This window comes from Homo sapiens, chromosome 7 (assembly GCF_000001405.40).
Source record: "Homo sapiens chromosome 7, GRCh38.p14 Primary Assembly".
Classification (NCBI taxonomy): Eukaryota; Metazoa; Chordata; class Mammalia; order Primates; family Hominidae; genus Homo; species Homo sapiens.
In genome coordinates this window covers 98272136-98297755 of record NC_000007.14, presented here as the reverse complement: position 1 = coordinate 98297755, position 25620 = coordinate 98272136, and the positions used below count along the sequence as shown (strand labels likewise).

Below are 25620 nucleotides of genomic sequence, written 5' to 3'. Positions count from 1 at the left end.
TTGCGTCACAACATGGGTGCCTCGGCTTCCAAAAAGATCCCAGTGGCTCGGAGCAGTTGGCTTTTCCCTGTTTGGGCCTCAGCGTCCCCCTTTTGAGAATAAAGGGGTTGAACTAGATCAGAAGTGAACTGGAAGACAAGTCCGGGCCACAGACGAGGACTGGAATGGGTTTTCACACTGAAGACAGGTGTCAGTGAGGGCCACTTTTGTTGCGAGTAACTGGCCTCCAGCTGGCTTGGAAATGTTCCTTAGGGCTGTTCCATTCTGCTCAGGAGCAAGGCCACCTGCACTGGCCCTGTTCACTCTGTCCTGCCCTCTGCAGTGAGGGCCACCAGCATTCTCTGCTGCAGCCCAAGGGAAAAAGTGGTGCTCGGTGCTCCGAGCTGCCCGGGACCCCTCTGAAAGCCAGGTCAACTAGTCCCCCAACCTGGGCGCATGGCTATGTGGTGGGCACCCTGGAAGCTCCGTACAGTCGGGAAGGGGGTGTGGACCAGGCATCGAGTGATGGGTGGTCAGCCAGTGTCCACACACACATTTTGGATTCTTGGATTCTTGCGGGAGATGGGGGATCACAAGATGTGTCCACCCTGGCCGCAGTCAGCCGCTTGGTGGCCTCGCTCTATAGTCTCCAGTTGCAGCCCAACCACTCTCGTAGTGGCTGCTGGTTTCGTGGCCTTAGTGGTCTCCTGTCTTGTTGGGGACACAGGACATGCAGCAGGCAGTGCCCGCGGGGCCCTGGGTGCCGGTGGCAGTGCTGCCTGTGGCTTGGAGGTGTCCCCCACTGCAAGGAAAGGGAACAGAGAGGAGGGCAGGTCTATGTTCAGTGACCACCACAGTGGGCTGAGTGTGAGGTATGCGGTTGAGACAGGGACGCAGGGAGGATGCTGTGAGACCCTTGGGGGCCACCAGATAAGAGGCACCGTATGTGCCAAGCCCCTGCCCTCGTGGGTCTCCTTTGCAGTGGAGAGGGAGGCAGAGAGGCTCCTGCCAGCCTTGTATCCAGAAGGAGTGCTGGGGTTTCAGGTCCCTGAGAAACATGCAGATGTTAAACGGGAAATCTGCCTGAACACGTCCAATATGTTTTTGTTGTTTCTGTTTTTGTTTTGTTGGTTTTTTGTTTTTTTGTTTTTTACAGATGGAGTCTCACTCTGTTGCCCAGGCTGGAGTGCAGTGGTGCAATCTCAGCTCACCACAACCTCTGCCTCCCTGTTCAAGCGATTCTCCTGCCTCAGCCTCCTGAGTAGCTGGGATTACCGGCGTGCGCCACCACACCCAGCTAATTTTGTATTTTTAGTAGAGACGGGGTTTCTCCATGTTGGTCAGGCTGGTCTCGAACTCCCGACCTCAGGTGATGCGCCCACCTCAGCCTCCCAAAGTGCTGGGATTACAGGCATGAGCCACTGTCCCTGGCCCAATACATATTTTAAAGTAAACATTGTATTACAGAATACCACAGACAGAAAAGCACACAATGAATTTTCATGATGTGACTCCGTATACCCAGCAGGACGTTCCCGGCCCCCACGATCACCCAGCATGGCCCACCTCCGTGACCATCCCTTCTCCAACACCAGACTCCCCAAGCCCTGGCACAGAGATGGCTGTCTGGGGTGGCCCCGTAGGGACAGTCGCTCAGTGCTGTGTGGTGACCTGCTGTCTGCACAGAAGCTGGTTCTGACTCTCCCATTGACGGGCGTCTGGTGTTTCTGGTCTGGGCTGTTTCTCCAGGGCTGCCCGAGTGTCTCGGTGCCCATGGGTGTGTGCCCTGCTTGTTCCTACAGGGAGCAGGATTGTTGGGCCCCAGGCATGCGTGCACGGGGTTGGCCCAACACTGAGTGGCTTCCAGCTGTCATCTTAAGCGTTCTTTTTCCTCCTCAGTCCTCCTGGCAGGAGTCGGTGCTTCTTGCTGCGTTCTTTGTGAGGATTTACTGGGACCTTTTTAAAGTCCCGTGGGGGCCCAGGAGGCTCTGAACAAGCTCCGGGGTGTGCTTGGGGTGGGTGGAGGGTGTTTCTGGTTTCTAGTTTGGGAAGCGCCTTCCCCTAGCATAAGCTGCACATGTGAGGGAGATGGTGTTGGCCCCAAGGAGTCAGATGACTCCAGTGGGAGAGGAGGGGAGGGCAGAGTGGAGTCAGGATTGGCATGAATCGTGCCTCAGGCCCAGCCATGGCCCTTCTGCAACAGAGTCCACGAATGCCAGCACCGTGAGCACATGCGACAGGCACCCTGGTGCATTTAAATCATAAATTAGCCCATCATAATCGCAGAGCATGCACCTCACACCAGCAAGGACTTCCTCTGAGGCCTGCTAGGGAAGCGTTGAGTGCCCCGCAGGAAGTCACTTTTGCGGCCATTTAAAGCCCTGTAGGATGTGCAAGGCAGGTCAGTGGCTTTGTGCTCCAGTGATGAAAAGCAGACAATGAATTGGCCCCAGATGCCCTGCCCAGGGGATCTGGGGAGGGTGGGACAGGTCTCAGGCACAGCCCTGGGGCTCCCAAACTGCCTTCCGTCTCCACAGCCTGTACACCCAACATGCAGTGGAGGCCATCCCAGAGGAGGCCTGGCCTGGGCCTCCATGTCCAGGAACGGCCTGCGCTCTAGCGCTGGCATCGGGCATGAGAGGGCCTCCCCTAAGTCAATCTTGAGAGGTCTGCGTGCTCCCTGAGACCCCCTGGGGGTGCTGGGACGCTTCCTGGGGCTGTCAGGACGGTGTGGCCGGGCCACAGGCTGGTTACACAGTGTTACACTGCCCTCTCCTGGGCGGCTGCCTGACTCCACTCCCTGTGTGCAGGCAGGAAAGAGTGTTAAACCCTCCAGGCTTTTTGGAGTGAGGGAAAGAAGGCGCGCACACACCTGGCCCTGGCTCGCCCTGGGTGGCAGGTGCTGGAAGGAGTTGCTCCCCACCCGAGCCCTGTAGGCACCTTTGCACTTTGGTTCCACCTTCTCTTTTCCTCAGTTTGAGCTTCCTACAAGATCCCTGGCTCTAGCAGCCCCAAAGCCAGTGGGGTTTTATTTTTATTTCCTGTTTCTTTGTCATGCTTCAGGAGTCAGCTCCCAAAAAGCACATCCCAGTCACTAGATTCTGCGTTCAAAAGACCGTGGCTGAGGACCTGTGGGATCTCTGTTTGCCCCGAGTCTGAGAGGTTCTGTTTGGCACAAATGTTTTCTTCTGTGATGTCGCTCTGTTGCTCAAGCTTCATTTTGTGAAACTGTTTCCGAGTTTAGCAGGCGGCTCGTTCACATGTGAGCTCCCGACATCACGGGTGACCCGCGCAGGCAGTGCCATGCTCTGTTCACGCTCTGACACCTGGGAGGGCCGCTACCGCCTTTCAGAGCGTTTTCTGTTCTTGCCTTATTCTTCCAAGTGAATTTAGACAGTCTAACAGATTGGGACAGGGCACTTTTAAACATCCCTTATGTTTTAGATGTCTTTACCTTCGGGTCTTATTAAAAATCTCCAATACAGGCCAGTCGCAGCGGCTCACACCTGTAGTCCCAGCACATTAGGAGGCCAAGGTGGAAGGATCACGTGAGCTCAGGAGTTCGAAACCAGCCTGGGCAACATAGCAAATCCCCATCTCTACCTAAAATAATTTTTAAAAGACCAATTCTAAGCCCTCCATAAACTTCTTTATCTTTCTCACAGAACGATGCCAACGGGACTGCAAAGCCGCCTTTTCTCAGGTAGGCGTGGCTTCCTACGTGAGCCTCAGTGTGTGACATTGCTCTTCCCTGTAGTGTCCCCCGGAAGGGCCTTCGGTGCCCAGCCCAGGGGGTCCAGCCTGAGAAAGGCCTCGGCCTGTGGAGCCATGGGGGAGTGCAGCCCCCTGCTCGCTTTACCAACTACTTTAGACCACGCTGGGAGCAGGGCTTCCCCACCCCAGAGTGACCCCCATGTCACACACAATGCAGGACTAAAGAGGTGTGGGTGCCCACGTCCAGAACGCTTAAAACCTGGGATCGTTCTGCAGCAGGTGGTATGGTGTAGGAATCATCACTGAACAAAACTTTCACACTCAGAAAACGCTGCTGGGACCTGTACAAGCTGGGGAGGTGGTCAGCCGCCCAGTCTCACAGGGCAAGAACGGGTTATTAGCACTGTTAAAATCCAGTTTCCCTCGTAGAGCAGAAGTTCTGAAAGATTTTTCTTATCCCCTGCAGCGGAGAAAACCCCTTTGCCACTGTGAAACTCCGCCCGACTGTGACGAATGATCGCTCGGCACCCATCATTCGATGAGAGGACAGCCAAGGACTCTCCCGGGCCTCTCCGGTTCTCCCTTGCGGAATGATGGGCGCATCCTGTCTGCCACGTGCTGACGGTCGGGAAGCTTCAGTGGAGAGGCCTAACTCTAATGTCGCCTGCTTAAGCAAATCATGCTTCTCTGTTTCACGTAGTTGGGTTGACAAGTTTCTGCCTTTAAGATAAATGAGTAATAGTCTAATGACCAGCTCAGCCATTTAAAATATTTTCTTCCTATTCTGTTCAAGAAACAGTAAACTTGGTTTCAATCTTTACTGTATTTTTTAAATGAATTTTTTCCTTAATAACAGCCAGAATAAGGGATAGTCTATGCTTTCAGGACTGGCTTTCTGCACCTGATATGAATGAGACCAGTTTTATTTTATAAAGCATGTGCTCTTAATAGCATTATGTCTAAAGAAGATATCACGTAAGTTTGCATCTTAGCATGCAAATCATAATTTTAAGCAATATAAATTATGAAAATACTATATAAATGTAATTTAACTTAAAATGTTTAAGTGTAGAGCTTCCAGAGATGGAGAAACCCCCACCCTCCCTCCAACCACGCCAGAGCTGTAGAGTGCTAAGACGCTTTGCCTGCCCTTATCACAGCCACACGTAGCACTCGACGAAATCTCCTCCGAGAGCTCCTTTTCTTGGTAGTTAGGAGTCGCCAACGGATTCGCTGCACACGGCCCATCCAGGACACAGGCCTGGGCGTCGGAGTCACGGCTCCTTGTGTTCTCACTCAGCTAGTTGGCCAAAGCTGCATCCATTACCAGTACACTCAAACTGCTCGGGGTCCTGGTTTCTCCGTGTTTGAATCAGGTACAGACTCTCAAAGGATACGTGTAAAGCCAGGATGACCTCTGGTGCCTGGAGAAGGGCGGGTTTTTCAGCCTAGCAGCCATGATGCCCTCGGAACCTGGCCCTATGGTATGGATGTGAGGACTACGCACTGGCTGCCCTGAGCCCGGGGCTGGAAATCATCTTTGGCTGCCAAGGATCTGGACCTATTTTGGAGTGGAGAGTCATGGTTAAAATTCCCAGCCCGGCCCAGGTACGGGAATCCCAGCATTTTGTGAGGCCGAGGCAGGGGGATCACCTGAGGTCAGGAGTCTCTACTAAAAATACAAAAATTAGACAGGTGTGGTGGTGGGCGCCACTCAGGAGGCTGAGGCAGGAGAATCACTTGAACCCGGGAGGCAGAGGTTGCAGTGAGCCAGATCATGCTGCTGCACTCCAGCCCGGCCGCTCACCGTGTGTGTTGCTGGGTGCTGGGGCTGTGACTTATCCCCTCTCCTTTAGCCTTGCCATAAGTGTAGTATCCTATGAGGCTGAGATTGGGAAAGGTTACATGCAGGTAAGCCAGTGGACGTGGCCGATGCTTCAGGCTCCTTCCAGCCAGGTCCAGCAGTGTTACCATCTGCTTCTCCTGGGAGGACAAACCAGGCACCCCCACCATGAAGGGGCTGCAGGCACCATGAACTATGTTAACAACCCCAGTCTGTACTACAGAAAGGGCTGCAGCCACATGAGAATTCAGTCCACACAAGCCCCATGGCCGTGTTCCCCACTTCAGCCACAGGGCTCAGGGAGCCCCATCTGGCGCTAAGGGGAACTGCTGGGGTGTGGGTGACACCTGGCCTTTGGCGTTCTGCCTTGGGGAGGTTTCTGGTTTTGTTACGGGGTGGAAGAATAGGACCTGGGGGTCTCGGATGCAACCTGCAGACCCCGTGGCTCACCCAACCCCAGGTTCTGCCTCCCAGACCAGAACGGGCATGGCCTGGTCCTTGGCACCGAGGTGCCTGCTCTGTAAATATCAAGGGATTACAACTTTAATAATAAAGCAGAACTTGAAAACATTTTCTTGAGCTGTAAGCGCCTGCTGAATACAACTGTGGTCAGGACTGGCCGGGGGAGCGATGGGGGTGTCGTTCCAGTCTTTCCTGGGTCTCTGAAAGCACCGAGTAAGCAGCACCAGGTCAACAATGGTATGAATCTCATTTATTGAAAACATTATTTCTCACCTTTCTCAAATTGAAGACTGCAAAAAATAAAAGCAGTGCTTTATTGAGTTGTCATGAGCCTCGGGCGGGAGCAGCAGCACTGCCTCTCCACGCTCCGGGAAACCGCAGCTGGCGTGTGCCACATCGGTCCCACCTCGCTTTACAAAACAGTCCTGAAGCTTAATCAAATAAAATTATTGTACACAACATTTACATTAGAAAAAGAGAGCTGGGTGTAGGAAAGCCGGGCCTGGTGTTCCCTTTAAGCGAAGGTGGCTCCACAGTTGGGGCATCGTCGCTTCCTCAAGGCAAAACAGCAAATGAACCCAAAGGGGAAGAGGATGATGGCCAGGAAGATGCCCAGGAAGGTGAAGCAGTCCTCCAGCACCCCAACCCTGCAGCAGAGACGGGCAGAGAGGGTGGCACCGTAAGGACCCGGGCAGCCAGAACCCTCACCCCTGCCACCCTTGCATTCAATAACCAACCAGTGGCCATGAGTCACATGGGGACCTCTGGCGAGTGACAGAAAACAGCCCCCCACCCCACCACCCAGCTACAGCCCACTGGCCTGGAGAGCCCCAAGAACCAGCTGCACGTACCCGTTCATGGAATGGCCATAGTTATTTAATCACTACATGTAACATTCAAAGAAAACGGGAAGAATAAAACAGTTGAAAGGACTCATCAGTTAACCTTGAAAGGCAAGGCAGGGTGTGTGGTGGCTCACGCCTGTAATCCCAGCACTGTGGGAGGCGGAGGCGGGTGGATCACCTGAGTTCAGGAGTTCAAGACCAGCCTGGCCAACACGGTGAAACCCTGTCTCTACTAACAATACAAAAATCTGCCAGGCGTGGTGGCACATGCCTGTAGTCCCGGCTACTTGGGAGGCTGAGGCAGGAGAATCGCTTGAATCCAGGAGGCAGAGGTTGCAGTGAGCCGAGATTAAGCCACTACACTCCAGGCTGGGCGACAGAGCGAGACTCCATCTCAAAAAGTAAAACCTTGAGAGATGGCCGGGCGCGGTGGCTCACGCCTGTAATCCCAGCACTTTGGGAGGCCGAGGCGGGTGGATCATGAGGTCAGGAGATCGAGACCATCCTGGCTAACAAGGTGAAACCCCGTCTCTACTAAAAATACAAAAAATTAGCCGGGCGCGGTGGCGGGCGCCTGTAGTCCCAGCTACTCAGGAGGCTGAGGCAGGAGAATGGCGTGAACCCAGGAAGCGGAGCTTGCAGTGAGCCGAGATTGTGCCACTGCAGTCCACAGTCCGGCCTGGGCGACAGAGCGAGACTCCGTCTCAAAAAAAAAAAAAAAAAAAAAAAAACAACCTTGAGAGGCATGATCATTTTGGTGCCACAAGCCACATACATCTGCTCTTAGAAAAGGAGCAACTAGCAGCTTAGTGATCCAGTCAGGTTTGGGCTTTTATTCGATTTCCGTTCCTTTGGTAGCGGGGGTGGGTTAATGGGAGACTACAGTCGGCCATGTTCACACAATGTCTGAAGGCCACTTATTTTGAGAAATGTGATCTCAAAGCCGCCTCTTCAACAAAGTTCAATGTTTGTAACAGACTAAAGACACCTGCAGGCCATCCCTCAAATCCTGCGCCAGTGAGCCTAGGTTCAGTGACCTGAAATCATCATCGAACCCAACTGTCAGTTTCAGAGGCCCTAAAAGTAGGAAGCCAGAAGCCTAGTGCTCAGCTCAGCTCCTTAGGCTATTTCTGGAAAGTTCTGGACACAGCTGAAATTAACCACACTAGCCAGCTCAGCCCAAATGAGAAAAGCTTTGCTCCCACCAGACAGGCAGACCCCAACGGGCTCCTTCTGGGCCTCCTGGGGGCCCAAACCCCCCATCCAGCCAGTGCTGGAGTGAGTGGACAGAAAAACACAACAGGGTGGGGCTGTCTGATAGATGATGGGACCTGGTGCTTAGGGGGGAAGGGGAGCCTACAGCAAGGCAGTGCAGCCGCCTGCCTGCGACAGGGAAGCATGACTACCTGTGCCTTGCTAAGGGGAGAAAACTTGGCCATCTGGGGGACCCTACTCCCATCCCAGCCCCCTGGATGTTTCCAGCTGCTTCCTGGGGGTCTGGACTCATGAGGGCCACTGCCCCCACCCCTGCTGGGCAAAGCAGGCTGGGGAGCCCAAACCCCACCCACAGAACCTGTTCCCTGCTTCTCCGGGGATTATGGAAAAATAAACCAGAATATTCTGAAGTCGGGCTTTCCACTGCTGAAAGAAAAAGTTGCAAAGTGCAGTGGCTCATGCTTGTCATCCCAGCACTTTGGGAGGCCGAGGTGGGTGGATGACCTGAGGTCAGGAGTTCGAGACCAGCCTGGTCAACATGGTGAAACCGCGTTTCTACTAAAAATACAGAAATTAGCTGGGCGTAGTGGTGGGTACCTGTAATCCCAGCTACTCGGGAAGCTGAAACAGAATTGCTTGAACCTGGGAGGCAGAGGTTGCAGTGAGCTGAGATCGTGCCACTGCACTCTAGCCTGGGCAACAAGAGCAAAACTCCGTCTCAAAAAAAAAGAAAAAAGAAAAAAACTTCATGCCCACCTGCCTCCCTCTAGCCTACTCAGGGAGGTCCCTTCAGCAATCTCCAGTGGAGTAGGACACCGTGGCTCACGCCTGCAACTGCAGCACTTTGGGAAGCTGAGGCGGATCGCTTAAAGCCAGCAGTTCAAAACCAGCCTGGGCAACAAAGACCCCTCCCTACAAAAATTTAAAATTAGCCAGACACAGTGGTATGCATTTGGAAAAGGGGGATTGTTCAGCCGATTTTGGGAAACTTTTCTCCTACAGTCCCTATGTCCATTCGTTCTCAAAAGGCTCTGAGAAGTCCTGCAGCACTCTTATACCCAGTGTTTCCCAAACTCACACAACGCCACCTGTCTGTGTGGAGGGGCTGAGCTGGGCTGCAGGGCACACCATGAAGCTCCAAGGCAAAGCCAAGCAGAAGACCAGAGTCTGCCAGGAAAGTTTCTACTTCCTGTGTGGGCTTTTACAAATGTGTCCCCTATTTAAGCCCCAGAAGGTCGTCAGGCCACCACACTTGTTCAGCCTTGCCCAGGGCTGCCCCTGCCAGTCCAGACTGGGCAGGACACCTCCGCCCAGCCCTGCCGACTGCAGCACGCCCTGCCTGGCTCCAGGACCTTCTCCCCCAGGTGCCACAGCTCCCAAGACCACACAGTCGAGGTGGGGGAGCCTCGGGAAGGCCAAGCACCAGCTGTGTCCCCACAGATGGCCATGACAGGTTCCGGGGGAGCTGGAGGGAGCCAGTGGCCTCAGGCCTCTCAGGGGAGCTTCCTCTTCCCTTTTCTTCCTGGCATCTGCGGTCAAATCCCAGGAAACACACTGGCTGTATATTCTGGTTAGAAAATGTCCCATGAAAAAGCAGACAGGGAGGGTGAACCGGCTGAGAAATCCTTCTAGGGGAGAGGCCCGCACCCCCCAGAGTGGTCCCCAGTGTCACCGGGCACCCCTCAGCCAGCCCAATCAGTGACCATCTGAGCACCTCACCTCAGGACCAAAGCTGCTGAGAGGCAGGGCTGCAGGCAGAGCTGACTGCCTGTTCAAAGGCCCAGAGATGCCTGGGAGGAGGCTGGGCAAAGGGGTGTGGGTGGGGAGCCCGGCTGGAGCCCGCCCATGGGGCGCAGCAGAGACATCCAGGTGTGATGGTGCAATGGGCAGGGGTGGGGCTTCACAGTGCTGCCTGGGGGCCCCGCCCACACCAGCCTCCCACCTGCAGCTGCTGCTCGCGCCTGGGACCCAAGTCCAAGAGCAGCAGCGCCCTCCTGCTTCCTAATTCTCCATCCAGACCCAAAACCCACCTACTCTGTCAGAGCTGAGAAGTGCAGGAAGGCTGCTCACTCTTGCTGCACTCCCACTGCCACGGGCCAGGGCGCCGGCCCACCTGAGTGCTAGGATTTCCAGCAGCGCCAGCCCAGCCCACCCAGGCCCCGGCGCCTCTCTTCCCAGCACCTTGATTCCCAGCCCCGGGGCTGCAAGCAGCACAATGGGCCAAACCTAATGTGCTGACCCCACGGCCTCCCAGGCACAGGGAAACACCCTCCTTCCAACCCACGGAATTTCTGTCCAGACCCATCCCATCCTCAGCCAGAGCACAGGGCTGGGCCGTTTGTGCCACCCTGGCCTGAGCCCCTCAGTCCAGGGACCCACTCCGGCACCTCCTAAGGCAGCCTCCCTATCCCTGGTCCATTCAACCCCCACCCTCCTGCCCACCTCCACACCGCTTAAAGAGAGGGTAGGAGGGCCAAGGCCCCCGGGTCTCTGGGGAGAGCGAGCCTGTTTCCCTGCAGTGCCGCCCGGGAGCTGGACAGATCCAGCTGTCCCAGGAGGCTCAGGCCTCTGCCAGCAACAGAAGGCTGTGATCCAGACCTGAGAACCCCGGCCCGGGAGAACGAGCACTTGGGCCTGAGAGCTCTGAACGGGCTTCGAAGGCCCGAGGGCTGGCCAGGAGAGTTCGGCCCTCACCTCTGGCTCTGGGGTCAGCCTAAGGGTGGGCAGCATTCCCTACCCCCCAGGATTCCACAGCCGTACCCACAACTTCAAACGCCAAGAGGCGCTGAAGGCAGAACTCGCTGTCACTTGACAGCAAACTCACCTGGCAGCAACATGTGACCTGAACTGGTGTGTGGCTATTTATAGTCGTAATTTATCCTACTTTATCTGAATATTCATGTCTTGCTGCAGAAATATTAAAGTTTTAACTGCAGTACTGCCCTAGACCTCAAAAGGAGTGTTGGCATCATTTACTTTTTAAAACCCCAAATCTTCTGAACTGAGAAACACAATCCAGATTCTAGGTCAAGACTCCCCAAGCTGCAGGGCAGTCCTGTCCCCAGCACTGGAGGGCAGAAGGGGAACCCCTGCCCCGGAACACCTGCGGTCCCCACAGCCTCGAGTTCTCCTCCCTTCCAAACCCGGAAGAGCCCACCTGAGTTGGTGAGGTGGGTTTCAACCTTCTCAACCGCTCTGGTCCTGACCGGCTCTCTCTAGCCGCCCCTCCCCCATTCTTGTGCAATAAGCCACGCGGCCAGGGAGGGACCATGGCCACTGGCGAAATTAGGGAACTGACTAATTCCAAGAGCACTCCCTTAAGGCGACTCCAGTCCTGCAGTGAAAGTGGCCAGTCATGCCACTGTCATCCACTCAGAGCTGGGCCCTGGGACAGTAGAGGCCGCGGGGCTCCCGCCTCACCAAGGACAGAGGGGGCTGGCAGCAGGGCTCTGAGCTGCCCAGGGAGAAGGCCATCCTCGCCCTCCCTGTGTCCCCACAGGCACTTTACAGGAGGCTGAAGCTGAGGGTGTGTCCAGGGACTCCCAGCCGGGAAAGGCGTGGCTGGGATCTGAACCCAGATGGGCTCCCCAGTCACGAGCACCCATCCTGCAGGTCCCAGTTCTCCCTCCCAGGTAGCCCCCAAAGGCAGTGTCACAGGGGGCTGGCCCTAGGGCACCAAGCTGCCCTCTGCGCACATGGTGGCCTCAAGGCACCATCCACGCCCAGGAACAACCCCAGACCACCACCCCGCTGGAAGGCCAGGCCTCGCCAGGAAAAGGGGAGACGCAGGGCTTCCTCAGAGGGCTGAGGGCCTGAAGCCATGCTCAGCGCAGGGCGAGGTGGCCCCAAAGCAGCTCCAGCCAGGCTCTGGCTGTCCCAGGGTGTCCACTCCCCACAGGGGAGCTGCCTGGCTTAGGGACAGTTCACCAGGACCTCCCAGGGCCATTCCCAGCAAACCCAATGGCCAGGGCCAGCCCTCGCCTCCCCTGTGGAAGAAAGGCCTGAGAAGGTGCCCGGAGACTCTGCCTGCCACCACACCCACCCCAGCAGTGCCACTTGGCCCACAGCTGGGGGCTGAGCCCAAGGTCAGAGACTCAGGAGGCCACTGAGGGAGCACTTGGGCACCGAGGTCTGCAGCCCTGCCCAGCAAGCAGCCCAGGCCCAAGCTCCGGCCCATCCGCTGCCCCCACACCTCAGGCCAAGACTGTCAGGACGGGGACAGCCCACAGGCCATACATATGGGCAGAGCCATCCCAGCTAACTCAGCCACTTCCTCAACCAGGGGAGCTCTGGCTTCCAGGTCACAGGTGGTAGGAGGGAGCAGCCCCTCCACCTCCATCGTCTGGAAGCCCAAGGCTGTCACAGGCTCCTTCCCCTCCAGCCCCTCCCGGGCTCCACAGTCACCACCCCGTGCCCTCCACAGCCCACCTCTGCCCCCCAAGGGCCGTGGCAGCCTCCACGCTGGCCACTGAGCCGCACCCTGGACCTCTGAGCGACATCCGCCCTCCACAGCTGTTCTTTTCACCTTCCCTAGGAAAAGTGAAATCCTTTCCAGGATTTCCTCTCTCTCTGGTCACCCCCAAAACTAAATACCCAGTGACAGCCCAGCCAGTACTCATGGGGGCCTGGTGCAGGCCAGGGGCCTTCCCCACTCCTGCCTTCCCCGCTTGCAGGACGCAGGCTCTGCTCCAGCCCAGGAGAGCCTCCCAGCGCAGCTACCTCATCCTGCACCTAGGTACAACCACACCCCCAGCAAAGAATGACTGGCCTCCCTGGGCAAGGGAGAACCTGGCTTCAGGGAGGCCCAGGCCTTGGGCAGGGCAAGGCAGGGCAGGGCAGGGCAGGGCAGGGGTGAAGCAGGAGGGTGGGAGGAGCAGGGACATATCCGCCGCCAGGCTGCGGAAATGCTTCCTCATAAACGGCTAGAAAGGGAAGATGGAGTCAGGCAGCTTCAGCGAAGGCCTGGCCAGGGCAGCAGAGCCACAAGGGACACGGGCTTCTCTGGCCAAGCCTCACTCAGAAGGACTAACAGATGTGTGACTTGGGCAAATTCCTGCCATGCCACCAGGCAGGGAGGGGGACAGAGCCCGGCGGGCTGGACCTGGGGCAGGAGGAAGTGTGGTCATGTGAGTGGTATCCTGTCTCCCGGGCCAAGACGCCAGGCAGCGGCCAGACGTGTGTGTTGTGTGTTCAGGGAACCGTCTCCACTCTCCTCGCAGAGAGGAGTGGCCCAGGGACCACACACCCCACCCACGCCAGCAGCAGAGCACCCAGCCCCCTGCTCGCCCTCTGGCTGCCACAGGGCACAGGGGCCCATCCCATGCCCAATGCAGCTGCAGAGGCAAAGCCTCGGGGAGCCAGAGCCACTCTCCAGCATCCAAGGCACCACGGGCAGAGCGCAGGGACGTGTGTGCTGGGAGGGCCTGGCTGCAACCCAAGGGGTCGCCGCAGGATCCAAGAGTGCTCTGGTCCCAACTTAAAGGACTAAGGACCCCCCAACCTTGTCCAGAGAGGACCCAGCCTCCACCCTGCCTGGTGCAGCTGCCCAGAGGCAGAGAGCAGTGATTAAGTAACCAAGGACCCCACACCCCTACAGCCTCTGAGGGCCGAGCCCAAGATCCTTCCCAGCAGAGCACAGTCTGACCCCGCTCCAGGTTCTGCATAACTGGAGAGCACCTCCAGGTTAGCGGAAGCCATGGGCCTCCGCAGGGACACAGTTCCCACCTAGGGAAGGGGAAGTGGCAGGGCCAGTGCCCCCATACCGACAGCAACTGCGCCACCACCTCGGCGCCCCCCAGCCCTGGGATATCTGGCCCATCCCTCGCTGCCGCTGGTCTCTCACCTCTCCAAGTTCAGGGGTTTGGGCAGAGAAGAGCTAAGAGCTTCAGAGACACCTCACCAGACACCCCCACGTCCCAGGTGGGGAAACAAGCCCCGCTGTTCCTGGCAGGACCAGGACCGGAACCCGGCTCCTCCGGCAGGCTGGACACCGGGATGGCAGGGCATGGACAATGACACGCAGGCAGACCCTCTGCTCCTCCATGTTCTGAGTCCCCTCCATGTGCCTTCACACTCACACAGCTCTGCCAGCCCCCCAACCCGGTGCAGCTCCGGGAGAGAACTATGTCCCGAAGGCAGCCAGCGCCCCACCCTGCCCTCCCTCCACCTTCACTCCAAAGGCTAATGTTTCTGCTGGGTGGTGACCAACTGTGTCAAACTGACGTCCCAGTTAGGGTTTGTCACGGGGTCCCTGTGCAGGCAAGCAGCCACAACCTGCCCCCGAGGTCCCAGCCTCTTGTCCCCACCTCTAGGTTGCCCTTCCTTCCCAGGAAGTTGCCTGCTAAGGCTCTGAAATCACTCACTTCCCCGTGACTCCACTCTAGGCCTTACACACACACTTTTGAAATCAAGTCTAAGTCCAAACCAGGGTTTCTTAATTCCATCTCAGTGGCTTCAACTTCCTCCTCCGAGACACAGCTGAAAACCCTGTCCCGGCCAACTCTGCCCCTACTTTCTAAGCAATCTGAACACCCCCAGCTGCCAAGGGTTTATATTTAATTAATCCTTATTTAAATGTGAATCCTCAAAACCTCCACAAAACAAGCCTCTAGCTGCACCTCGGGGCCCTATAAAAACCAAAAAGCGTGTGCAGGTCCAATGCGAGGATATGAAAAAAATAACTCCTGCCTCAAAGAAACACGGGGTTTCCATCCTGGTCCAGCTCGTGGAAGAGCGTTTCAAGCCAACTTTGGATAAAGCAGCTCTTACGGCCGTCGCTTCTCCCACTGAGGTCTGTCCTGCTGGTGCACTTACTTCCAAATGCCCCTTCCGGGAAAATGAAACCTTCCACCACCTTCGACGATCAACTGCAGAGTAAACTTGCGGAAAGTGAAGGAAAAAGCAGACACCTGATTCCTTGCAAGTCCCAGAACAAAGACGAAAGGACCACGAGTCCCGTTGTTACCATTTCTACATCCCAATCACTTGGGGTGCAATGCCCCAAGATCTAGGAAAAGGAATCCACCCTTTTGCCCCCACAAAATGTGTTCAGAGCCAAGGGTGAGCGGACCCGCACTCTCCCACACCGCATTCGGGCAGCCTGTCTGTCCCTCCCATAAAGGGCTCTGGTCAAGATCCAAGTCAAGCCGGACCCACTCCCACAAGCAGAGCTGTGAGGTCCTGGGGGTTAGGGCGGGGGTCCTCAGAGCTTCCAGGGCCAGTCCCCAGGCTGCAGACCCACTCACCTGCAGACAGGACAGCCTCCTACGACCACGATAGAGTTGGCAGGATAGCGGGTGACGGTCCGGCTGTGGATGTTGTAGACCCTGGGATGGTGGGTGGGTATCCCTGTGGGCGGGAAAGCAGGTCATTAGGGTGCAGGGAGGAGAAATCGGACCGCCACGGGGACTACTCATCCTGTCCCCTCAACCTCCACCCCGCTAAAAAAGCCCCCGGTCTTTTCCACCCTCGGGACGGCCACCGCGGGCCTGATTCGGCGCTAATCTGCCAACAGCGAGCGCCTCGTGACACAAAGTTCATCTGGGGCAGGGATCCGGCCCCGCCGGGTTACGACGGGCCCGAGGACTAGAGCCCCGGGGGGGAGGCTGGCCCTCGGCGGCGCCGGGTCCCGAAGCCAGCCCGGGGACCTCCAGCTCCAGGAAGGACCCCCGGGCGGGCCCCACCCGCCTCCGGACCCACGTCCCCCGACCGGGCTTGCCACCTCGGAAGCCGCCGGCGGGGAAAGTTGGTTACGGGCCCACCTGTGACGAGGTAGGGGTAGGGCGGCGGCGGGGGCGCGGCGGGGATGGCGCCGTAGCCGTGCGGGCCGCACGCGTAGTCGCCCTGGCCGGCCTCCAGGTTGTAGGCGGGCGGCCGCTCCTGCAGCAGCGGCTTGTGGTCCATGGCGGCCCGGCCGCGCCCGCCGCTCCGGCCCGGCTCGGCTCGGTCGGCCCCGGCGGGGGACGCGGCGGCGGCGGCGGGGACGCGGCGGACCGGGTGGCTCGGGCCCCTCTGAGGCAGACGCGGGGCGGGGCGGGGCGGGCGCGAGCCGCGGGCTTCCCCCGCCCTCCCGGGCCCAGTCACAAGACCGGGGTCACGTGGGCGGCGGGAGGCGGGGCTCGGGGGCGGGGCCGGCGGGGCGTCTTAAAGGGGCCGCGCCCTCCCGAAGCCGCCCCGCCGGCGGCGCCTCTGCACTCCGCCCCGCCCCGCCGCCGCTGCTCTCTAGACCTCCCGTGGCGGGGAGACCCCCCCCCCCGCCCATCCCCCACGACGACCCAGAGACGCCCCATAGGGTCATGACCTTTAGGGCTCGCGGATGCACCCCCACCTCCCCCTACGCCCCGATCTCCCAGGCCGGCCGAGGTCCCCCTACCGGTGGAGGAGGGGGAGGGCGGGGCCTGAGAGGGGGCGGGGCCGGGTGGGTCCCAGGCCGCCCCAACGCCAGCCCTCTGCCCCTATGATCGCCAGCGCTTCCAGCAATACAAAGGGCACACCCGGGTGTGCACCTCAGCTGCGGCCTGCGCGGTGCTCAGCTGCGGCGCATTCCCTCCGTTTGCCTTTTTTTGGACAATTAGGTGATTGACGGGGGTAGTAGCCAGTGCTTACAAATAACTCCCCCGTTTGGGGACAAAACTATAAATACTGGGCACCTGCCGCGTCTCCTCAGTTTCCCTAATCTTCAGGCAGCCCTGCCAGGTGTTTTGCTTACCCCTGGAGGACAACACGGGATCGGGCTCAGAAGGGGGAGGGATTTGGCTGTGGCAGGTGCGGGTCAGAGCCCGTATCTAAACCTGGGTGTTTTCTGGCCTCGGGGACTGCGTCAGGCGCCCTCGTTGAAACATTTCCTCATACAAGGCTTCACGGGTTGGCCAGGACAACTTTAAAACGAACGATTGGAACGTTCAGGATTGCTTGCGTCCTTAGCGCCTCTGCACCTTTTCAGGGGCACCTGTATCCGTTACTGTATTCTGTCTCCAGTTTTCTCACCTGCATTTTGATATCACCTGCACTGTAGCTCTGGGACGACTACAGCTCTTCTCGAACCGCGCCTTTTTAATTTTTAAAAAAAAAATTTGTAGGGGGTGCTGGGGGGGCTCTCTTGCTCTGTCACCCAGGCTGCAGTAGAGTGACACAGTCATTGCTCAATGCAGTCTCGACCTCCTGGGCCCAAGCCATCCTCCCACCTCAGCCTCCTCAGTAGCTGGGGACCACAGGCACACGCCACCATGCCCAGCTAATTTTTAAAAATTTTTGTATGGGATCTTGCTATGTGCCCAGGCCAGTCTCAAACTGCTGGCCTCAACCAATCCTTTTGCATCAGCCTCCCAAAGTGCTGGAATTACAGATGTCAGCCCCTGCACCCGGCCTTATTTTTATTTTTTAATAAGGGATCATCATTCACATGTATATATACACACACATACATATATATATATATATATATATATATATCTTTTTTTTTTTTTTTTTTAACAGAGTCTCACTCTGTGGCCCAGGCTGGAGTGCAGTGATGCAACCCTGGCTCACTGCAACGTCGACCTCCGGGGCTCAAGTGATCCTCCCATCTCAGCTTCCTAAGTAGCTGGGGACTACAGGTGCACGCCACAGTGCCCAGCTAATTTTTTTTTATATTTTGTAGAGATGGGGTGTTGCTATGTTTCCCAGGCTGGTCTCAAACTCCTGGGCTCAAGTGATCCTCCTCACTCAGCCTCACAAGGTGCTGGGATTATAGGCATGAGCCACCAAGCCCACCTGACCATCATATTTCTTTATCACAAGACCAGCTCTTCGAAGCCCATTCCCATCGATCTTGTACCTGCTGTCCTAGTCATCGTACCCACAGTCCTCGAAAAAGGAACTGAGGGGTGGTCCAGGTACACTAGGGAACTGAGGGGTGGCCCCTGGCACTGATGAACAGCCAGATCAAGAGTGAAGACTGGGCCGGGCGTGGTGGCTCATGCCTGTAATCCCAGCACTTTGGGAGGGTGAGGTGGGTGGATCACTTGAGGTCAGGAGTTCGAGACCAGCTGGCCAACATGGTGAAACCCCGTCTCTACTAAAAATACAAAAATTGGCTGGCCATGGTGGGGGGTACCTGTAATCCCAGCTACTCTGGAGGCTGAGGCACGAGGATCACATGAACCTGGGAGGCGGAGGTTACAGTGAGCCAAGATCGTGCCATTGCACTCCAGCCTGGATGACAGAGTGAGATTCCATCTCAAAAAAAAAAAAAAAAAAAAGAGTGGAGACTGGCCAGGAGTGGCCAAGGGCTTTGGAGCCAGTAGAGGCTCTGGTAGGCAGTGAGGAGGCCATTGTTCCTGGGGGCAGCTGTCCGGGCACCACAGGGTGACAGCCCCTGGCCAGAGAATACTGGGGTGCAGCCTCGTGCCTCATCAACCATGAAGAGATGTGGCTCACGTCAACCCTCCTAACACTTGGTCAACAGGGGCCACCTGGATTCTCCTCCCAGCCTTGCAAACTGCTGAGGAGTAGCAGCTGCAGGCCCGGTGATCTCCTTTCCTATCAGATCAACAAAAGCTGGCACATTTCCCTTCCATTTCATGGCTAATTGTCCCTTCACTGCTTGCCTGCATTTCCTGATAAACCCTACAAAATCCACAGCTCCTGGTCCCCTTCTCTTCCAACAATTGTTTTTGCCCCAGCAATGCCCCTGGGTTTGGAACTCCAAGTCTGTGAATGCTGGGGTGTGACTTTGGGATGTCCCGGCATGGCTTTGACCAGTGCTGCCCTCAGACACAAAGCAGTTCCTGCCCCTCCAAACGTGCAGTGTGCGGAAGATGGAACTGCTATCCCGGGCTCTGTGTGCAAGCCCTGGGGGGCCAAAGAGGACGATGACAGGGACACAAGTAGCAGACAGGGAGCCAGATAGTAACTGTGGTGGAGGGAGCTTTGTATGGCAAGAGGGTTGGAGTTGCCACACACAGGGTGGTGATGAGCCTGGGTGCCTGGAGAGTTCCAGGGCCACAGCCTGGCTTGGAAGGCCAGTGGCGAGTCAGCCCCAGGGACCAGTGGCAGAGCATTCCAGGCAGAGTGAACTGCAATCCCAAAGAGTATACAGTGGCCCATTATATGCCAGGACTTGTCACTTGGTGTGGCCAGAGCCCTGGAAGAGTCTCTAGAAGGCAGAGGTGGGGCTGGCCAGGGGAGGCGGTGCCGGGCATTGGAGTTGGGATAGCATCCTGTAAGAGCCTATTGGGGAACTGCGTAGAGTTTGAACAGGGGAGTGTGAGCATCGGATTTCAGTATTAGAAAAATGTCTTTGAAGGGAGGGGCACAGTAGCTCACACCTGTCATCCCAGCACTTTTGGAGGCCAAGGTGGGAGGATCACTACAGGCCAGGAGTTCGAGACCAGCATGAGCATCATAGCGAGACCCCCCCCAGCCCCCCGCCCATCTCTACAGAAAATTTAAAAATTAACCGAATGTGGTGGCACGTGCCTGTAGTCCCAGCTACTCGGGAGGCTGAGGCACGAGAATCACTTAAACCCAGGAGACAGGTTGCAGTGAGCCAAGATTGTGCCATTGCACTCCAGCCTGGCGACAGAGCGAGACCCTGCCTCAAAAAAAAAAAAAGGAAACTGAAGCACAGAGGGCCTCCATACGTTTCCAAAGCCTCCCAACCAGTAGAGGTGGGTCTTCAAACAACAGATGTACCACACTTAATCCTAGGATCACCCCACACTGCCTCCATGCCAAGTATACAAGAGAAGTATGCCGCCTCTTGCTGGATTTTTTGTTTGGTTTGGTTTTGGTTTGTTTTTTTGTTTGTTTGTTTTTTGAGATGGAGTTTTGCTGTCATTGCCCCGGCTGGAGTGCAGTTGCACGATCTCGGCTCACCAGGCTCACCTCCTGGGTTCAAGCGATTCTCCTGCCTCAGCCTCCCGAGTAGCTGGGATTACAGGCATGTGCCACCACACCCAGCTAATTTTTTCATATCTTTAGTAGAGATGGGGTTTCTCCATGTTGGTTAAGCTGGTCTCGAGCCCCCAACCACAGGTGATCCGCCTGCCTCGGCCTCCCAAAGTGCTGGGATTATAGGTGTGAGCCACCATGCCCGGCCTCTTGTTGGTTTTAAGAGAAATGCATTCCTATTGAAGAAGACTTGGAATACATAAATATGCATATGTTTCGGATTTCCGAAATTCTGCTACAGAGCAGAATACAAAATACAAAATACAGAATACAGAATACAAATACAAAAGTGGATACAGTCCACTTTTGGATTTCTTTCTTGTTTTTTTTTAGAGACAGGGTCTTGCTCTGCTTGCCTGGCTGGAGTGCAGTGGTGCATTCATAGCTCACTGCAGCCTCAACCTCCCGGGCTCAGTGACCTCCCACCTCAGCCTCCCCAAGTAGCTGGGGCTACAGGTGTGCCATCACCACACCTGGCTAATTTTTTTAATTTTTTTTGAGATGGGGTCTCCCTCTGTTGCCCAGGCTGGTCTTGAATTCCTAGCCTCAAGCGATCCTCCTACCTTGGCCTCCCAGAGTGCTGGGATTACTGGAGTGAGCCATTGCGCCCGGCCTTTTATCCACTTTTGTATTATGCAGACATTTATTTTTATTTTTATTTTTTTGAGACAGAGTCTTACTCTGTCACCCAGGCTGGAATGCAGCAGCATGATCTTCGCTCACTGCAATCTCCACCTCCCAGGTTCAAGTGATTCTCCTGCTGCCTCAGCCTCCCCAGTAGCTGGGATTACAGGCGTGCGCCACCACACCCAGCTAATTTTTGTATTTTTCGTAGAGATGGGGTTTCACCATGTTGGCCAGGCTGGTCTCGAACTCTTGACCTCGGCCTTCCCAAAGTGCCGGGATTACAGGTGTGACCCACCGCACCAGGCCTCATGCAGACATTTAAAAAATTATTTTTAGTACTGCCATTCCCATACAAATGAATATATGTGATTTTTGTTGCTCTGTGTGAATGTTTTCACTGGGGGCACTCAGCAAGGAGACCTGGCTGGACAGTGGAGGTCCTGGCCCCCGCCTGGGGGATGAGGGAGATGTCTTGTTCCGGAAACCTTGACAGTCACCATTGACTCTCCTCCAGTGTACCAGAGGAAACCTAAACCAGGATCATGCCCTTTCTTGAATGCTCTTGAGAAAGGCTGATAATCCACCACGTGAGCTTCTGGGAACACACAAGCAGCAAGTATCTCACATGGTAGGAACTAAGACCAAAAAGAAAAAGAAGAAAAAAAAAAAGGAAGCAAATATAATTTCAAAATCCAAGGCTGTAACCAATTACAAGCGCCTGGCTCAGGGAAGGCCCTTGCCAAATATTTGCTGAATATTTGCTAAATGTTTATCTTAGATAAACACTTTAAGTTCCGAGTTTTATGGTTAGCCTGAGGTAAGCCTTATGGTTCTACTAGGCAAATATTTCTAAATATTTTATAACTTAAGCACATAAGTTTTTACATGACACAGACAAAAATTTCTCTTGCTGAGTGACAAGACAAATTATATCACAAGTCATGTGTGTATATACATATATATATCCTCTATGTATATATTTACATATTTAAATCTATATTACACTCTTCATTCTCTAATGGGGTAGTCCTCACTACATAAATCTGCCTGGTAGAACATACTTAACTCACACAATGAAACATAGAAAGCATTTCTTTTGTAATCCACATTTTCAAGCACTTGCCACAAGAACAATGAACAAATTCTGGGCCAGATATGGTGGCTCATGCCTGTAATCCCAATACTTTGGGAGGCCAAGGCAGGAGGATTGCTTGAGGCCAGGAGTTCGAGACCAGCCTGAGCAACATAGTGAGACTCTGCCCGCTACAAAAAATTTAAAAAGAAAGCACGGTGGTTCACACCTTTAATCCCAGCACTTTCGGAGGCCAAGGTGGGCGGATCACTTGAGGTCACGAGTTCGAGACCAGCCTGGCCAACATGGTGAAACCCTGTCTCTATTAAAAATACAAAAATTAGGGCTGGGCACAGTGGCTCACACCTGTAATCCCAGCACTTTGGGAGGCCGAGGCAGGCGGATCACGAGGTCAGGAGTTTGAGACCAGCCTGGCCAGCATGGTGAAACCCTGTCTCTAATAAAAATACAAAAAAAAAAATTAGCCAGGCGTGGTGGCACACACCTGTAGTCCCAGCTACCCCAGGAGGCTGAGGCAGGAGAATTGTTTGAACCTGGCAGGCAGAGTTTACAGTGAGCCGAGATTGCGCCACTGCACTCCAGCCTGGGCGACAGAATGAGACTCCATCTCAAAAAAAATAAAATAAAATAAAAAATACAAAAATACAAAAATTAGCTGGGAGTGGTGGCGCATGCCTGTAATCCCAGCTTCTCGGGAGGCTGAGGCAGGAGAATGGCTTGATCCTGGGAGATGGAGGTTGAAAAAAAAAATTAACAAAAGCACAAATTCGGAATGGCAAGTTTCTGGCTAAGTAAGTTTCCAACCTGCTGTACTCAAAACCCCTGAGAAGCAGCTGCAGGATTAACAGATGCACCGATACCTCCAGGCTAAAACGTGGATGTGAACACATTTCTGGCAACACACGCAGAATTCAGTGGACACCTTTTATCTCTGCTATATTCAGAGTAACAGAACAGGGTGCTTTTCCAAGACTTCTTGATCGGTGGCAGGGGGGAATCCAATAAAACATCAGCCAAATTGGGATGTCGAGGGCAGTGAGTTGTGATTGAAAGAACAAGTGGTTCTCATTCAGACTGTTCTATCTCCTCCCTGGGGGACAGGCGCAAGTCAGTTAACCTCAGGGAGCCAGGCTTTCTAAAACCAGAGATCTCAAGCATCCTTTCCGAATTATAATCATATCTATTCTTTGGGGGCATTTTTATCTCATCACCTTCCAGAATGACAGAGTCATCATTTCTAAATGCAACTTCAAGGCCAGGTACAGTGGCTCATGCCTGTAATCCCAGCACTCTGGGAGGCCAAGGAGGGAGGAAAGCTTGAGCCCAGGAGTTCAAGACCAGCCTGGGCAACAAGATCTGTACAAAAAATAAAAACCAGGCTAGGCGTGGTGGCTCACACCTGTAATCCCAGCACTTTGGGAAGCCGAGCAGGTTAGGAGTTCAAGACCAGCCTGGCCAACATGGTGAAACCCCATCTCTACTAAAAATACAAAAATTAACCAGGTATGGTGGTGGACACCTGTAATCCCACCTACTTGGGAGGTTGAAACAGGAGAATTGCGTGAACCCACGGGGCAGAGGTTGCAGTGAGCCAAGATCACGCCACTGCACTCCAGCCTGGGTGACAGAGCAAGACTCTGTCTCAAAAATAAGAAATAAAAATAAAAACTTAGCCGGGCATGGTGGCATGCACCTGTAGTCCCAGCTACTCAGGAAGCTGAGGCGGGAGGATCACCTGAGCCCAGGAGGTGGAGGCCGAAGTGAGCTATGATTGCACCAGCGCACTCCAGCCTGGGTGACAGAGCAAGACCCTGTTTCTAAATAAATAAATAAATGGAACTTCAAGGGAGAAAGCAGCAGCATGTCCCACTGCTCTCTTTTGTGTTGAGTACTGTGTTGTGATTCATACTTCCATATTCTGTCGTCACGATTAACCCCAGAGCCATGATGGACAGATATTATCAGCCCCGATTTAGAAATGAGGAAGGAGCTGGGCTGTTCATTGAGCAGGTCCCCTGAGCCCTTTGTGGGCCAGGACACTGCCTTATCTCTGTATCCACAATGCCTCAGACGTAGTAGGAGCTCACTAAATGTTTAATTGAACTCAAGGTCATGTGCCCACAATCATTTGACTGCTAAGCGGGGATTCAAACCTAGGTTCTCCCACCTCCAGACTCAAGCTCTGGTTCCTAGACCATAAAGGGCATCCTCTCTTCAGGCTAGAAATATGTCTGGATCATGACATAAGGCCATTCCTCATTTTAAAAAATCAAGAGCAGCCAGGTGCGGTGGCTCACTCCTGTAATCCCAGAACTTTGGGAAGCTGAGGCGGGAGGATCGCTTGAGCTCAGGAGTTCGAGACCAGCCTGGGCAACATAGCAAGACCCCATCTCTTTTTTTTTTTTTTTTTTGGAGATGGAGTCTCACTCTGTCGCCCAGGCTGGAGTGCAATGGTGCAACCTCGGCTCACTACACCTTGAACTCCGTCTCCTGGGTTCAAGCGATTCTCCTGCCTCAGCCTCCTGAGTAGCTGGGATTACAGGCACCCACCACCACGCTTGGCTAATTTCTGTATTTTTAGTAGAGATGGGGTTTCACCATGTTGGCCAGGCTGGTCTTGAACTCCTGACCTCAGGTAATCCAACTGCGTTGACCTACCAAAGTGCTGGGATTACAGGCGTGAGCCACCGAGCCTGGCCCCCATCTCTACTTTTAAAAATAAAGAAAAAAGAAAAATAAACTGAAGCCAGGCACGGTGGCTCATGCTTGTAATCCCAGCAATTTGGGATGCCGAGGTGGGCAGATCATGAGGTCAGGAGTTCCAGACCAGCCTGGCCAACACAGTGAAACCCCGTCTCTACTAAAAATACAAAAATTAGCTGGGCATGGTGGCAGACACCTGTAATCCCAGCTACTTGGGAGGCTGAGGCAGGAGAATCACTTGAACCCGGGAGGCGGAGGTTGCAGTGGGCTGAGATCACACCACTGCACTCCAGCCTGGACGATAGAGCTAGACTCTGTCTCCACAAATTAAAAAATTTTAAAAAATAAAATAGGCCGGGCACGGTGGCTCACGCCTGTAATCCCAGCACTTTGGGAGGCCGAGGCGGGCGAATCACAAGGTCAGGAGATCGAAACCATCCTGGCTAACATGGTGAAACCCCGTCTCTACTAAAAATACAAAAAATTAGCTGGGTTCGGTCGTGGGCGCCTGTAGTCCCAGCTACTCGAGAGGCTGAGGCAGGAGAATGGCGTGAACCTGGGAGGCAGAGCTTGCAGTGAGCAGAGACTGCGCCACTGCACTCCAGACTGGGCGACAGAGCAAGACTCCGTCTCATAAGTAAAATAAAATAAAATGAATAAAATAAAATAAAATATAAAATAAAATAAATAAAAAATAAATAAATAAAATAAAATAAATTGAGAGTGCCTAGATGGCAGGGAAGATGCCAGTGGAGATGACTGATGCTCTTTGGGATCTCACTCGATAGTTTTGGAGATTACAAGTGTCATTCAGGGAAAATGAGGCACCTCTGTGACTTTTCTATTCTCTATCAGATGACAATGAAAGTTATCCTGATTGTTGGCCAGGCGAGGTGGTTCACGCCTGTAATTCCATCACTTTGGGAGGCCGAGGCGGGTGGATCACCTGAGGTCAGGAGTTCAAGACCATCCTCGCCAACATGGTGAAACCCCGTCTCTACTAAAAATACAAATCTTAACTGGGTGTGGTGGTGCACACCTGCAATCCCAGCTGCTCAGGAGGCTGAGGCAGGAGAATTGCTTAAACCTGGGAGGTGGAGGTTGCAGTGAGCCAAGGTTGCGCAACTGTACTCCAGCCTGGATGACAGAATAAGACTCCATCTCAGAAAAAAAAAAAAAAAAAAGTTATCCAGACTGACAGAAGGTCT

General features: G+C 54.8%; 2 protein-coding genes across 15 annotated transcripts in view, besides 9 other annotated features; one reads left to right on the top strand and one right to left on the bottom strand.

Annotated features, from left to right (window-relative positions):
* The window catches only part of BAIAP2L1 (BAR/IMD domain containing adaptor protein 2 like 1), a 109441-nt gene extending 103335 nt beyond the window's left edge, over positions 1-6106 (top strand). Inside the window, exons 13-14 of the mRNA NM_018842.5 lie at positions 3645-3682; positions 4160-6106. Of these exons, the coding sequence (NP_061330.2) occupies positions 3645-3682; positions 4160-4235 (114 nt within the window). The 3' untranslated portion in view covers positions 4236-6106. The remainder of the gene's footprint in view (positions 1-3644; positions 3683-4159) is intronic.
* The window catches only part of BRI3 (brain protein I3), a 41745-nt gene extending 25675 nt beyond the window's left edge, over positions 1-16070 (bottom strand). For 6 of the 14 annotated variants that reach the window (XR_007059996.1, XR_007059997.1, XM_017011933.3 and 3 more), the window contains exons 1-2: positions 15779-16070; positions 15303-15405 (exon numbers count right to left, since the gene is read on the bottom strand). Coding sequence is in view for 9 of the 14 variants with exons in the window: in XM_017011933.3 (XP_016867422.1) it covers positions 15303-15405; positions 15779-15960 (285 nt within the window). In the remaining 5 variants the exon portion in view is untranslated. Of the gene's footprint in view, positions 1-4792; positions 5118-6210; positions 6646-15302; positions 15406-15778 lie in introns of those variants that run through there. The other 8 variants (XR_007059999.1, XR_007059998.1, XR_007060000.1 and 5 more) reach the window with 4 other exon arrangements.
* Positions 616-1117: an enhancer, noted in NCBI's record as "H3K4me1 hESC enhancer chr7:97925951-97926452 (GRCh37/hg19 assembly coordinates)". NCBI's record gives its function as "activates a minimal SCP1, AML or CMV promoter by ChIP-STARR-seq in primed H9 embryonic stem cells {active_cell/tissue: H9 hESC(primed)}" and the evidence as "EXISTENCE:reporter gene assay evidence [ECO:0000049][PMID:30033119]".
* Positions 1728-1842: a silencer, noted in NCBI's record as "fragment chr7:97925226-97925340 (GRCh37/hg19 assembly coordinates)". NCBI's record gives its function as "represses an EF-1alpha promoter that drives an FKBP-Casp9 reporter gene in an ReSE screen in phorbol 12-myristate 13-acetate-treated (for megakaryocytic differentiation) K562 erythroleukemia cells {active_cell/tissue: K562(+PMA)}" and the evidence as "EXISTENCE:reporter gene assay evidence [ECO:0000049][PMID:32094911]".
* Positions 2451-2680: an enhancer, noted in NCBI's record as "active region_26307". NCBI's record gives its function as "activates an Ori minimal core promoter by ATAC-STARR-seq in GM12878 lymphoblastoid cells {active_cell/tissue: GM12878}" and the evidence as "EXISTENCE:reporter gene assay evidence [ECO:0000049][PMID:35858748]".
* Positions 9548-10260: an enhancer, noted in NCBI's record as "H3K27ac-H3K4me1 hESC enhancer chr7:97916808-97917520 (GRCh37/hg19 assembly coordinates)". NCBI's record gives its function as "activates a minimal SCP1, AML or CMV promoter by ChIP-STARR-seq in naive H9 embryonic stem cells {active_cell/tissue: H9 hESC(naive)}" and the evidence as "EXISTENCE:reporter gene assay evidence [ECO:0000049][PMID:30033119]".
* Positions 10973-11685: an enhancer, noted in NCBI's record as "H3K27ac-H3K4me1 hESC enhancer chr7:97915383-97916095 (GRCh37/hg19 assembly coordinates)". NCBI's record gives its function as "activates a minimal SCP1, AML or CMV promoter by ChIP-STARR-seq in naive H9 embryonic stem cells {active_cell/tissue: H9 hESC(naive)}" and the evidence as "EXISTENCE:reporter gene assay evidence [ECO:0000049][PMID:30033119]".
* Positions 15579-15918: a silencer, noted in NCBI's record as "silent region_18394". NCBI's record gives its function as "represses an Ori minimal core promoter by ATAC-STARR-seq in GM12878 lymphoblastoid cells {active_cell/tissue: GM12878}" and the evidence as "EXISTENCE:reporter gene assay evidence [ECO:0000049][PMID:35858748]".
* Positions 16049-16558: a silencer, noted in NCBI's record as "silent region_18393". NCBI's record gives its function as "represses an Ori minimal core promoter by ATAC-STARR-seq in GM12878 lymphoblastoid cells {active_cell/tissue: GM12878}" and the evidence as "EXISTENCE:reporter gene assay evidence [ECO:0000049][PMID:35858748]".
* Positions 16049-17239: a biological region, named in NCBI's record as "H3K27ac-H3K4me1 hESC enhancer GRCh37_chr7:97909829-97910813".
* Positions 16255-17239: an enhancer, noted in NCBI's record as "H3K27ac-H3K4me1 hESC enhancer chr7:97909829-97910813 (GRCh37/hg19 assembly coordinates)". NCBI's record gives its function as "activates a minimal SCP1, AML or CMV promoter by ChIP-STARR-seq in primed H9 embryonic stem cells {active_cell/tissue: H9 hESC(primed)}" and the evidence as "EXISTENCE:reporter gene assay evidence [ECO:0000049][PMID:30033119]".